At 48.5% G+C, this 13,757-nt stretch overlaps 2 annotated features.

The window, feature by feature from the left end:
- Positions 1,432 to 2,132: an enhancer, noted in NCBI's record as "OCT4-NANOG-H3K27ac hESC enhancer chr11:70065875-70066575 (GRCh37/hg19 assembly coordinates)". NCBI's record gives its function as "activates a minimal SCP1, AML or CMV promoter by ChIP-STARR-seq in primed H9 embryonic stem cells {active_cell/tissue: H9 hESC(primed)}" and the evidence as "EXISTENCE:reporter gene assay evidence [ECO:0000049][PMID:30033119]".
- Positions 11,011 to 11,511: an enhancer, noted in NCBI's record as "H3K27ac hESC enhancer chr11:70075454-70075954 (GRCh37/hg19 assembly coordinates)". NCBI's record gives its function as "activates a minimal SCP1, AML or CMV promoter by ChIP-STARR-seq in naive H9 embryonic stem cells {active_cell/tissue: H9 hESC(naive)}" and the evidence as "EXISTENCE:reporter gene assay evidence [ECO:0000049][PMID:30033119]".

Below are 13,757 nucleotides of genomic sequence, written 5' to 3' on the forward strand. Positions count from 1 at the left end.
TGGGACCTAGCTCGGCCTAGTGAGGAGGGGAGAGGTCAGATGGGTCTGTAGAAAAGGAAGATTAGAAAAACTCAGCGACACTTGGGGTTGGGACTGAGGAGACAGGCAGGAGGGAAAGAAGGAAGATTTGGGACTAGTTGCACTGGGCAGAGAGACTAGGGAGGGACAGATGTGTAAAAGAATGCCTGGACGTCAGGCACCTCAGACCATTTGCCTATTTTTCGACAAAAATTATTTAGGTCTTGTAGGATGGAGAAATCGAAAGTGCCGTTTTCTGACCATTTAGAGCCATTGTCAAGTTTGTATTGGGGTCAAGCGGCATTGTAGAAGAAAGTAAGGCATTTAGGTTTTAGGTCAGGCAAGAGTTGAAGAGGTTTTATGTTCTTAAGAACACAGGCTAAGGGAGAAGAAGGAGGAATGGAGGGTGGAAGGTTGCCTATAGTGAAGGAGGCAAGTTTAAAGAAAAGGGAGAGTAGAGACATGGAGGGAAGCGGTTCGGGGGTTCTTACCTTCCAGAAAAGCAGGAAAGGGGTCGGGGCACAGAGATACGAGGTTGGGGCACGGAAATAAGGGAGCAGGGTGCAGAGATATAAGAGGTTGGGGCACAGAAATAAGGGATTGGGGCACAGAGATATAAGAGGTCGGAGCGTGGAAATAAGGGATCGGGGCGCAGAGATACAAGGTTGGGGTACATGCCCCTCCCCCAGAAAAATGGGACTTGCTGCTAAGGGTGAAGGAGAAGGGGCTGGGGGTTTCTTGCCTTACAGAAAGGTGGAGAAGGGGTAGAGACATGAAGAGAAGGGGTTGGGGTACTTGCCCCTCCCCTAGAAAAGTGGGACTTGCTGCTAAGAGTGAAGAAGAAGGGGTTGGGGATTTCTTGCCCTCCAGAAAGGTGGAGAAGGGGTAGAGACACAGAGAGAAGGGGTTGGGGTACTTGCCCCTCCCCCAGAAAAGCGGGACTTGCCGCTATGGGTGAAGGACCAAGGCAGGCGTCCTTGCGTGGTCTGACACCTCTGAAACATGGGTGAATAATCAGAGAGGTGTCCTTGCAATGATTAAACACCAAGGGAAGGCTGCCTTCCTAGTCCGTGACCAGTGCTGGAGTTTTGGGTCCACGGATAAAACGTGTCTCCTTTGTCTCTACCAGAAAATGAAAGGAATTGAAATTAAAAGAAGGGAGAGATTGAAGTGTGGCGCCAAGATTGAAAGGAGAAACAGGTTGAGGGATAGTGAGGGAGGTTGGAGAAGAGAGTAAAAAGAGGCTGCTTACCGGATTTGAAATTGGTGAGATGTTTCTTGGGCTGGTTGGTCTGAGGACCTGAGGTCATAGGTGGATCTTTCTCACAGAGCAAAGAGCAGGAGGACAGGGGATTGATCTCCCAAGGGAGGTCCCCCGATCCGAGTCACGGCACCAAATTTCACTCACGTCCGTGTGAAGAGACCACCAAACAGGCTTTGTGTGAACAATAAAGCTGTTTATTTCACCAGGGTGCAGGTAGGCTGAGTCCGAAAAGAGAGTCAGTGAAGGGAGATAAGGGTGGGGCCGTTTTATAGGATTTGGGTAGATAAAGGAAAATTACAGTCCAAGGGGGGTTGTTCTCTGGCAGGCAGAGTAGGGGTCACAAGGTGCTCAGTAGGGGAGATTTTGAGCCAGGAGAAGGAATTTCACAAGACAATGTCATCAGTTAAGGCAGGAACAGGCCATTTTCACTTCTTTTGTGGGAGAATGTCATCAGTTAAGGCAGGAACCGGCCATCTGGATGTGTACATGCAGGTCACAGGGGATATGATGGCTTAGCTAGGGCTTAGAGGCCTGACACTTAGCATCTGTGTAAACTTAGACAAGTAAACCCATCCACAAAATGGATGATTACAGTAGCTACCTAGAAGGGATGTTGTGAGGATTCTGTGACTTGTTTGTAAACTACAGAGTAAGTACACCAGTAAAGATGTGTTCAGCCTCTCTTGTTACAGGTGTGATCACACCATCATGATGTGATTTTGTAACAGGATGATTTTGTAACACGATGACATTTTGTAACAGACACAGAGCCAGGGACAATACCACTGAGCTGCTGAAGCAACCCGCCCTGCTTCTGGCCTCCAAGTCACATGAGCTAATACTTTAAAAAAAAAAAAAAAAGCATTATACGGGCCAGGCACAGTGGCTCACACCTGTAATCCCAGCACTTTGGGAGGCCGAGGTGGGCAGATCACTTGAGGTCAGGAGTTCCAGACCAGCCTGGCCAACGTGGTGAAACCCTGTCTCTACTAAAAACACAAAAATTAGCCAGGCATGGTGGCAGATGCCTGTAATTCAACCTGGGAGGCTGAGGCAAGAGAATCACTTGAACCCAGGAGGCAGAGGTTGCAGTGAGCCAAAATTGAGACACTGCACTCCAGCCTGGGTGACAAAACAAGACTCTCAAAAAAAAAAAAAGTATTATACAAGACAACAGATTCACCAAGGTCAACGTGAAAGAAAAAAAATATCAAAGGCAGCTAGAGAGAAGTGTCAGGTCACTTACAAAGGGAACCCCATCAGGCTAGAAATGGACCTCTCAGCAGAAACTTTACACACCAGAAGAGATCAGGGGCTGTTTTCAGCATCCAAAGAAAAGAAATTCCAATCATTTCAAGAATTCCAAGAATTTCATATCCCACCCAACTAAGTATCATAAGCAAAGGATAAATAAAATCTGTCTCAGAAAGCAAATGCTAAGGGAATTCATTACCACTAGACCAGCCTTATAAGAGGTCCTTAAGGGAGTGCTAAACACAGAAACTAAAGAAGGATACCAGCCAAGCATGGTGACTCATGCTCTCCATCCCTCCACTTTGGGAATCTCTGAAGCCCAGGAGTTGGAGTCCAGCCTGGGCAACATAGTGAGACCCCGTCACTACAAAAAATAAAAAAATTATCCAGTCATGGTGATGTGTGCCTGTGGTCCCAGCTACTAGGGAGGCAGAGGCAGGAGTATTGCTTGAACCCAGGAGGTGGAGGCTGCAGTGAGCTGTGTGTGATCATGCCATTGCACTCCAGCTTGGCGACAGAGAGAGACCTTGTCTCTTAAAAAAAAAATGCACATGTACCCTAAAACTTAAAGTATTAAAAAAAAAAAAAAGGCTGGGCAAGGTGGCTCACACTTGTAATCCCAGCACTTTGGGAGGCCGAGGCAGGTGGATCACGAGGTCAGGAGATCAAGACCATCCTGGCTAAGATGGTAAAACCTCGTCTCTACTAAAAATACAAAAAATTAGCCAGGCACAGTGGCGGGCGCCTATAATCCCAGCTACTCGGGAGGCTGAGGAAGGAGAATCACTTGAACTCGGAGGGCAGAGGTTGCAGTGAGCTGAGGTCATGCCACTGCACTCCAGCCTGGGTGACAGAGTGAGACTCCATCTCAAAAAAAAAAAAAAAAAAAAAAGAACAATATCTGCTACCACAAAAACACACTTAAGCACATAGCCCTCAGACACTATACAATCATGTCTACAAAACAGCCAACTAACAACACAATGACAGAATCAAAATCTCACACATCTAGCCGGGTGTGGTGGCACGTGCTTGCAATCCCAACTGCTTGGGAGGCTGAGGCAGGGGAACTGCTTGAACCCAGGAGGTGAAGGTTGCAGTGAGCTGAGATTGCACCACTGCACTCCAGCCTGGTGACAGTGCAAGACTCTGTCTCAAAAAAAAAAAACAAAAAAAACTCACATATCAATACTAACCCTGAATGTCAACAGGCTAACTGACCCCACTTAAAAAGGCATAGAGTGGGCCGGACACGGTGCCTCACGCCTGTAATCCCAGCACTTTGGGAGGCTGAGGCGGGCGGAACACAAGGTCAGGAGATCGAGACTATCCTGGCTAACACGGTGAAACCCTGTCTCTACTAAAAATACATAAAATTAGCTGGGCGTGGTGGTGGGTGCCTGTAGTCCTAGCTACTCGGGAGGCTGAGGCAGGAGAATCACTTGAACTCGGAGGGCAGAGGTTGCAGTGAGCTGAGGTCGTGCCACTGCACTTCCAGCCTGGGTGACAGAGTGAGATTCTGTCTCAAAAAAAAAAAAAAAAAAAGAATAATATCTGCTACCACAAAAACACACTTCAGCACATAGGCCTCAGACACTATACAATCATGTCTACAAAACAGCCAGCTAACAACACAGTGACAGAATCAAAATCTCACACATCTAGCCGGGCATGGTGGCGCATGCTGGCAATCCCAACTGCTTGGGAGGCTGAGGCAGGGGAATCGCTTGAACCCGGGAGGCGGAGGTTGCAGTGACCTAAGATTGCGCCACTGCACTCCAGCCTGGTGACAGTGCAAGACTCTGTCTCAAAAAAAAAAAAAAAGAACTAACATATCAATACTAACCCTGAATGTCAACAGGCTAACTGACCCCACTTAAAAGGCATAGAGTGGGCCGGACACGGTGCCTCACGCCTGTAATCCCAGCACTTTGGGAGGCTGAGGTGGGCAGATCACAAGGTCAGGAGATCGAGACCATCCTGGCTAACATGGTGAAACCCCGTCTCTACTAAAAATACATAAAATTAGCTAGGCATGGTGGCTGGTGCCTATAGTCCCGGCTACTCAGGAGGCTGAGGCAGGAGAATGGCGTGAACCTGGGAGGCAGAGCTTGCAGTGAGCCGAGATCACGCCACTGCACTCCAGCCTGGGTGACAGAGCAAGACTCCGTCTCAAAAAAAAAAAAGAAAAGAAAAAAAAAGGCATAGAGTGACAAGCTGGATAAAAAGACAAGACCCAACTGTTTGCTATCTTTCAGAGACCCATCTCCCATGTAACTACACCCACAGGTTCAAAGTAAAGAGGATAGAGAACCCAGAAATAAAGCCACACACTTATAACCATCTGATCTTCAACAAAGTCAACAAAAACAAGCAAGGAGGGGAAAGAAGCTCCTATTCAATAAATGATACTTGGATAACTGGCTAGGCATATGCAGAAGAATGAAACTGGACCCTTGCCTTTCACCACATACAAAAATTAAAACAGACTAAAGATTTAAATGTAAGCCCTCAAACTACAAAAATCCTAAGAAACTCTAAGAAATATCCTTCTCAACACCAGCCATGGCAAATAATTTATGGCTAAGTCCTCAAAAGCAATTGCAACAAAAACAAAAATGATAAGTGGGACCTAACTAAACTAAAGAGCTTCTGCACAGCAAAGAAACTATCAACAGAATGAACAGACAACCTACAGAATGGGAGAAAATATTTGCAAACTAGGCATCCAACAAAGGTCTAATATCCAGAATCTATAAGGAACTTAACTCAACAAGCAAAAACAAATAATCCCATTGAAAAATGGGCAAAATACATGAACAAATACTTCTCAAAAGAAGACATATAAGCAGCCAACAAACACATGAAAAAATGCTTATCATCACTAATGATCAGAGAAATGCAAATCAAAAGCACAATGTCGCATCTGTAGTCCTAGTTACTAAGGAGGCTGAGGCAAAAGGATCACTGGAGCCCAGGAGGCAGAGGTTGCAGTGAGCCAAGATCACACCACTCCACTCCAGCCTGGGTGACAGCAAGACCCTTTCTAAAAATAAAAAAATAAAATAACCTACAATGAGATACCATCTCATACTAGCCAGAATGGCTATTATTAAAAAGTCAAAAAACAACAGACGGTGGCAAGGTTGTGGAGAAAAGGGAACACTAACTTATACACTGTTAATGGGAATGGGAATATGTACATTAGTTCAGCCACTCTGGAAAGCAATTTGGAGATTTGTCAAAGGACTTAAAACAGAACTACCATTTGACCCAGCAATTCGATTACTGGGTGTATACCTAAAAGAAAATAAATTATTCTACAAAAAAGACACAAGCACTTGTATGTTCATCGCAGCATTATTCACAATAGCAAAGACATGGAATCAATCTAGGTGTGCATCAGTGGTGGACTGGATAAAGAAAATATTGTATGCCAGACACGGTGGCTCGTGCCTGTAATCCCAGCACTTTGGGAGTCCAAGGTAGGTGGATCACCTGAGGTCGGGAGTTCAAGAGCAGTCTGGCCAACATGGAGAAAACCCTTCTCTACTAAGAAGGCTAAGGCAGAAGAATCACTTGAACTTGAGAGGCAGAGTTTGCAGTGAGCCAAGATCACACCACTGCACTCCAGCCTGGGCGACAGAGTGAGACTCTCTCTAAAAAAAAAAGGCTGGGCGCTGTGGCTCACACCCGTAATGCCAGCATTTTGGGAGGCCAAGGTGGGTGGATCACCTGACACCAGCCTGGCCCAATGGTGAAACCACGTCTCTGCTAAAAATACAAAATAGAAAAATAAAAATACGAAAATTATCTGGGCTTGGTGGCGCATGTCTGTAATCTCAGCTACTTGGGAAGCTGAGGCGGTAGAATCACTTGAACCCAGGAGGCAGAGGTTGCAATGAGCCGAGATCACACCACTGCACTCCAGCCTGGGAGACAGAGTGAAACTCCGTCTGAGAAAACAAACAAACAAACAAACAAACAAACAATTGAAGCCAGTTTGAGTTGAGCTTTCTGATATTTGCAGTGAATGGCATCATAGTGCTACATATGGAAATTTAGAATATGGTAAAATGCTGTTTCAAATGTATAAGAACAAATCATTAATGGGATTGGCACAGTGGGAAAAATTGTAGCATTCCTACCTCACTCCTTCTACCAAAATAAATCCCAAATGGATACAAGATATGAATGGAAAAAAGAAAAAGAAGCTGCAAACCTGGGGGAATTTCCTTATAATTGTGAACAGGAAGGAGAGGGCCATGAAATAAAACCCTGACCAATTTGATTGCTTAAAAAAACTAAAAATGGGCCAGGCGCAGTGGTTCACGCCTGTAATCCCAGCACTTTGGGAAGCCAAGGCGGGTGGACCACCTGAGGTCAGGAGTTCAAGACGAGCCTGGCCAACATGGTGAAACCCTGTCTCTACTAAAAATACAAAAATCAGGTAGGCATGGTGGCAGATATTGCAGTGAGCGGAGATCGTGCCATTGCATTCCATCCTGAGTGACAAGAGCAAAACTCTGTCTCAAAAAAACAAAAAATTGTAAACAAATTTAAGAGGCAGACAATCACTTGTGTTCCCATTTTATAGTGAAAGAAACGAAATGTAGGTTACATAGCTTCCCCAAATCATTCGTTCATTCACTTTTTGACAAGTATTTATTGAGCACCTACTAAGTGATAAACATGGCCAGGACCAGAGGGATGTCCCTGCCTTCATGGAGTTCCCATTCGAGCAGGAGAGACAGGCTTAAGTCCACTAATCACACGAACAGAAGTGATTACACTTGGGCTATATGGGGCCTGGCCAAGGATGGGCGAACAAAGCCAGCTTCTCTGAGGAAAGATGGTGGCAGTCAGCCAGTTGAAAAGGGCTGGGATAAAATGCCTTCCTGGCAGGGGTCCAGCCTGTATGGGGGACAGCCTGTACACAGCCTGGAACCAGGAGGGAACAGGACTCCTAGAAGGAACTGAAGAGCCAAAGTGGCCAAGCTGAGGGCTGGGGCGAGGCTTGGGTGGGGTGGCATAGCAGCGGAGGTTGGAGGGCAAAGGTCCCTCTGTCATTCTAAGATTCAAGGAAGGAGGGGCCTACCCATCCGTTGCGATGCCCTGCCCGTGTCTAAGAAATGAGCCAGGCTCCAGGTCAACCTTGTGTGCCAGCCTCCTTTGCAGCTTGAGCTGGCAGGAGGCCCCAGGACCCAGACAGGGCTGGTGACACAAGCAAGCTCATTTCCCAGGCCGGCAGCAGAGATGTCAGGGTTTTGAATATGCAAAGGCGCTGTGTTGGCATTTGGTGGCTGGCCTCCGTGGCAGAGGCAGCTCACTTTTCCTTCCGACCAGCTGCCTACTGTCCTTTGACCACTTGCTTTTCTGCTTAAACAGATTCCAGCCCTGTTCTATTTTGTCTTCTGGTTTTGTTTTGCAGTTAGAGCCTGCATGAGCTTGGTTTTGTCCCAAGGGCCAGGGCAGGGCCCTAAAGAAGTCCAGGCAGGGAGGTCAGATTTGCATTTTTCAAGCCTCAGCCACAGGGTAGGCTGCAGGGAGCAAGGGAGGATATGGGAAGCCAGGTTAGGAGGCCGCTGGAATGGCTGGGGGGTGGGGGATGGTGGCAGAAGGAGGGTCATGGGGCAGTTTGTAGTGAGGGCATGCATTTGAGGGGTGTTGGGGGCTTGGCATGGGTGTGGGACATGAGAGGGTGGGGGTGGCATGAAGGAGGCTGACAGGAGGGGACACAGAGACCATGTTCAGGGTGACAACAGAGCCACAAAGGTGATGGCCTGGTTTTGATCAACCCTGAATATGAGGTTCCCCAGGAGGTGTCTGGGGGCAAGGAGGTGTGTCCTAGGGCCTGGAGAATTTCCTGAGAGTGGGAATGGCTGGCCAGGGAGAGCTGGGCAGACCCCATGAGGGCCTTTCAGGACAAGGACAGGGGGATGAGGTGTTGAGGGCTGGGCAGTGACAGCTCAGGAATCAAGCCCTGTACCCACTCCACGCACACATGCAGCTTCAGTTTCAAAACATGCGTGGAAGGATCTTTTGGAAACACGCCCAGACTGCAGACACCCAGGTCCCTCTACCAGGGAGTCTGACTCTGTCCCAGGTGGGGCTCAGGAATGACTGCAGCACTGCCCCAGGCAGAGGGACGTTTTCACCTTCAGCTGTTAAGCACTACTAATTGCTCTATCTCATCTTCCCAACCAAATTGTTCAGGATAGACGTTGTAACTCCTCTTTGATCTCAGACTGCTGGTGAAAAGCAGGTTTTACAGACCAGGGCCATGTGGGGGCGTCCTGCAGAGACTCCAAGTGGCGCCCAGGCTCCCAGATGACCATCCTCACCCTTTAACCCCCAGACTTGGATCCCCGAGGGCACACAGTGTGTTTCCCGGGGAAGTGGGTGGTCTGCTGGTGAACTGAATGCCCAGAAGAGGTGAGCCGCAGATTTAAAACCTGCCTAGTGGCCGGGCGCAGTGGCTCAGGCCTGGAATCCCAGCACTTTGAGAGGCCAAGGCAGGCGGAACACTTGAGGCCAGGAGTTGGAGACCAGCCTGGCCAACATGGCGAAACCTCGTCTCTACTAAAAATACAAAAAGTAGCCAGATGTGGTGGTGGGTGCCTGTCATCCCAGCCTCTCAGGAGGCTGAGGCAGAAGAATGGCCAAGATTGCGCCACTGAACTCCAGCCTGGGCGACAGAGTGAGACTCTGTCTCAAAAAATAAAGTAAAACCTGCCCCACCCCTCCATACACCGTGGAATATGACCCAGTCATAAAAAGAAGGAAATCCTGCCTTTGCAGCACCATGGAGGGAGCTGAAGGCCATTATCCTAAGTGAAATGATGCAGAACCAGAAAGCCAAAGCCGCCTGTTCTTACTTATAAGCGGGTGTTAAGCATTGGGTACATGTGGACACGCAGACATACACTGGAGAAGGTGAAAGGGTCGGACATGCCTCGTTACTCCCCTCCAGCATCAACAGCAACACAGACCTCAAGTCTAATAAGAAACATTTAAGCGGCCAGGCACAGGTGGCTCACGCCTGTAATCCCAACACTTTGGGAGGCCTCAAGTGGATCACTTGAGGCCAGGAGTTCAAGACGAGCCTGGTCAACATCGGGAAATCCTGTGTCTACTAAAAATTCAAAAAAATTAGCCAGGCATGGTAGCATATGCCTGTAATTCCAGCTACTCGGGAGACTGCAGCACGAGAATCGCTTGAACCCAGGAGGTGGTGGTTGCGGTGAGCCGAGATCACGCCACTGCACTCCAGCCTGGGTGACTGAGTGACATTCTGTCAAAAAAAAAAAAAAGAGAGAGAGAGAGAGAGAGAAAGGAAGGAAGGAAGGAAGGAAGATTGACAGGAGGGTGTCCGGTCTTTCAGCTTCTCTAAGCCACATTGGAAGAAGAATTGTCTTGGGCCACACAAAATACACTAACAATAGCTGATGAGCTAAAAATAAAAATCACAAAAAAATATCATAATGTTAGCTGGGCACGGTGGCTCACGCCTGTAATCCCAGCACTTTGGGAGGCTGAGGTGGACAAATCACGAGCTCAGGAGTTCAAGACCAGCCTGGCCAACATAGTGAAACCCCATCTCTACTAAAATACGAAAAAATCAGCTGGGCATGGTGGCGGCCGCCTGTAATCCCAGCTACTCAGGAGGCTGAGGCAGGAGACTTGCTTGAACCCGGGAGGCAGAGGTTGCAGTGAGCCGTGATCGCACCACTGCACTCCAGCCCAGGACAGTGCGAGACTCCATCTCAAACAAACAAACAAAAAACAACTCATAATGTTTTGAGAATGTTTACGAATTTGTGTTGAGCTGTGTTCAAATTTGTCCTGGGCCACATGTGGCCCGCAGGCCACCAGTTGGACAAGCTTCATTTACAGTCTATTCTCTCTGAAGCCTACTACTTGAAGCCTTCATCTGTATGATACAACTTTGGTCTCGCCTGTAATCCAAGCACTTTGGGAGGCCGAGGCGGGCGGATCACCTGAGGTCGAGAGTTCGAGACCAGCCTGACCAACGTGGAGAAACCCCGTCTCTATTAAAAATACAAAAAATTAGCAGGGCGTGGTAATCCCAGCTGCTTGGGAGGCTGAGGCAGGAGAATCACTTGAACTGGGGAGGTGGAGGTTGCAGTTAGCTGAGATGGCGCCACTGCACTCCAGCCTGGGCAACAAGAGTGAAACTCTGACTCAAAAAAAATGAAATAAATAAAATAAAATAAAACACTTTGGTCTCCACGACCCGTTGTCATAACCCAGCCATTCCTTTCTATTGAAAATAACTCTTTCAACCAATTGCCAGTCAGAATATGTTTAAATCTACCTATGACCTGGAAGCCCCTGCCCCTTTGAGTTGTCCCGCCCTTCTAGATCCAACCAATGTAAATCTCACATGTATTGATTGATGCCTTATGTCTCCCTAAAATGTATAAATGCAAACTATACCTTGACCACCTTGGGCCCATGTTGTCAGGACCTCCTGAGGCTGTCACGGGCACGTCCTTATCCTTGGCAAAATAAACTTTCTAAACCGATCCAGACCTGCTCAGATGCTTTTTGGTTTACAGGTGCTACTTGGTGATTTGAGTTCTTATTTATCCTGAGATAGTAACGCAATATCCCCATGCTTTTTGGGACTGGGAGGAAGGAGAGGACCCCAGGATGAATACAATGCAGTTCCAGACCTTAAGGAGTTCCTATTGGGAGAGACAAACAGGGAAATAATCCCACGTGAAAAAAAACTGAGTCCTGAGAGCTGAAGTGATTTATCAAGTCCCAAGGTGCAGCTAGGACTTCAACCCAAGGCTCCTGACTCCAAGGCCCATAGAGTTTCCAGCACACCAAACCGCCTTTCCAGAGAGGGGGCCCTTTGAGTTGGCTTCCTAGGACAAGGAGGAGTTCATCAGGCGGCAAGCAGCTCAGACACAGGGAACAGCAAGTGCAAAGGCCAGGGGCACGGAATCAGAGGTGCCTCCCAGAGGCGGCAAGCTCTAAGCAAGCCGGTTCCAGAAAGACTTAGGAGAGGGCTTGGAGCCTGGAGGTAGAGTGAGGGCCGGAATTTTATCTTTTAAACACCAAGGAGCCGGCAGGCCGGGCGTGGTGGCTCAAGCCTGTAATCCCAACACTTTGAGAGGCCGAGACAAGAGGATTGCTGGATCCCAGGAATTTGAGACCAGCCTGGGCAACATGGTGATGCCCTATCTCTACTAAAAATTTTAAAATTAGCTGGGCGTGGTGATGTGCATCTGTAGTCCCAGCTACTCAGGAGGCTGAGGCAGGAGGATCACTTGACCCAGGAGGTCAAGCCGTGATCGCATCACTGCACTCCAGCCTGGTGACAGAGAGAGACCCAGTTTCTTTTTTTTCTTTCTTTTTTGCTTCTTCAGGACATTTATTCCATTACAGTATACCGATGCCACAGAGAACCTCAAATTTGACCTCGCTTTCTCTTTTGATCTGCCAACACAGGTCCTAAGTCCAATCAAGAGCTGCTTTTGATAGGAAAAAGAGTTAATAGAGTGCTATTTCTGCCTTTTATAAATCCTCCAAGGGGGTTTAGGCAATACTGAGTTCCAGGCTTTGAAGGTACAAACTTAGGAGCTGAATGAGAAACTCAGTTCCTTAAAAATAAAAATAAAAATAAAGGAGCCAGCAAAATCCTTTACGCAGGACAATGACATGATGAAAGAGTGTCCCACTTTATTAGAGATCCAAAGCACGTGGTTGTTCACTGGAAAATGAGAAAAGAAAACAACTAGATTCCTAAAGGTTGTAGTCAACTTTCTGGCTGTTATGGGGAACGCGTAATCATATATTATCACTTAGGAAGAATGGCCTGTGTTAATTAAGGCTGCCTAGTAACTTTGTTTTTTCCCCAAAGTTCTTTGAGGGCTAGCATCTCATTTTAGTCTCAGGGGAATCTTGAGCTGTTATTAAGGAAGGTTCTGCTTGTCCCATTTGACAGGTTTGGTGATTAGCATGGGGGTTGCCCCCTAGGAAGTGGAGGAGTGTGGGTTGGGACCCAGACCACCTGGATGTTCTGCAGGCTGCCCTGCCCTGCACAAGCTTCTAGCTCCCAGACAGGCACGGCAGGCCCAGACAGTGGCCCAGCTTGGGGCAGGGGCAAAGCCCATCGCAGTCCACAGTCCTTGGCGGTTTTCCGTCCCTTTCTGGGGACTCCCAGGGAAGACTGACCAGCCACTGTCCCTGTCTTACAGCAGGCAGTCACCAGGAGCATGAGGGACCAGGTGACTTCACAGCAGCATGAGAATAGCCATGAAAACTAAAACAAGGCTTGTGGACACTCCAAAAATACTCCACTGAAAGCGCCAGCCAGCATCGAAAATAAACCTGTCTGCTGGCTGCCTGCACAGAGGAGCCAGGGAGGGGCCACTGAGCCACACTTCCGGCCCCACACCCTTTTATTTTGGGAAAATCAAACCCTTCCCACCATGAGCTTGCCTGTGGGAGGGAAGCTGAGGCTGCCGTTGTCCTGTGAGATTTCGCTGGACGATGCTCAGGTGCAGAAGCGAGAGCTGACCCTTCCATTCATTCTTTCGTCCACCCGCAGGCACGTGCGCCTCCCTCTGTGTGCCAAGCGCTGTCCGTGGCATCAGGGCAGATGGAGCAGGGGCCGCCAGACTCGGCTTGAATCTGCTGTGCTGTGGACAGGCCTAGAGAGCTCGGCAGCACTTTCCCTCTAGGAGATGGGAGTGGGCTTATTGTGCTGTGAGGGGGTAAGGAGGCAGGGGAGATCTTGTCTGTGCCAGGCACGTCCTGGGCCCCATGCAGATGACCAGCCTCATTAGTTCGTTATCTGCACTCGCTCATGCAGCCTCACCTCTGTGTGTGGCAGAGGACCCTGGCCTTTAACATTCCTGCCGTCTTACAGCCCCACCTGCTTCAAAGCTTCCGCACGCTTCTTAACCCCTGGACAGACCTGCAACCCCCGCCTGTGGCCTTGGCTCCCACTTCCAAGACCCTGATGAGTTTTGCTGGGAGGGCCTGGTCGCTGCTTTCTTCTCAGAGGAAAGTGGCCCCTTCCCACCTCACTCAGCCTCCTGCTCCCCTGCCCTGGCCCTGGCCGGCTCACTTCTGGAACAAACTCCTTCCTCCCAGCCTTCCCATCTCTGGTCTCTTCCTGATCTGGATCCTTCTCTCTCTCTCTCTCTTTTTTTTTTTTTTTTTTTTGAGATAGGGGCTCACT

This window comes from Homo sapiens, chromosome 11 (assembly GCF_000001405.40).
Source record: "Homo sapiens chromosome 11, GRCh38.p14 Primary Assembly".
Taxonomy (NCBI): Eukaryota; Metazoa; Chordata; class Mammalia; order Primates; family Hominidae; genus Homo; species Homo sapiens.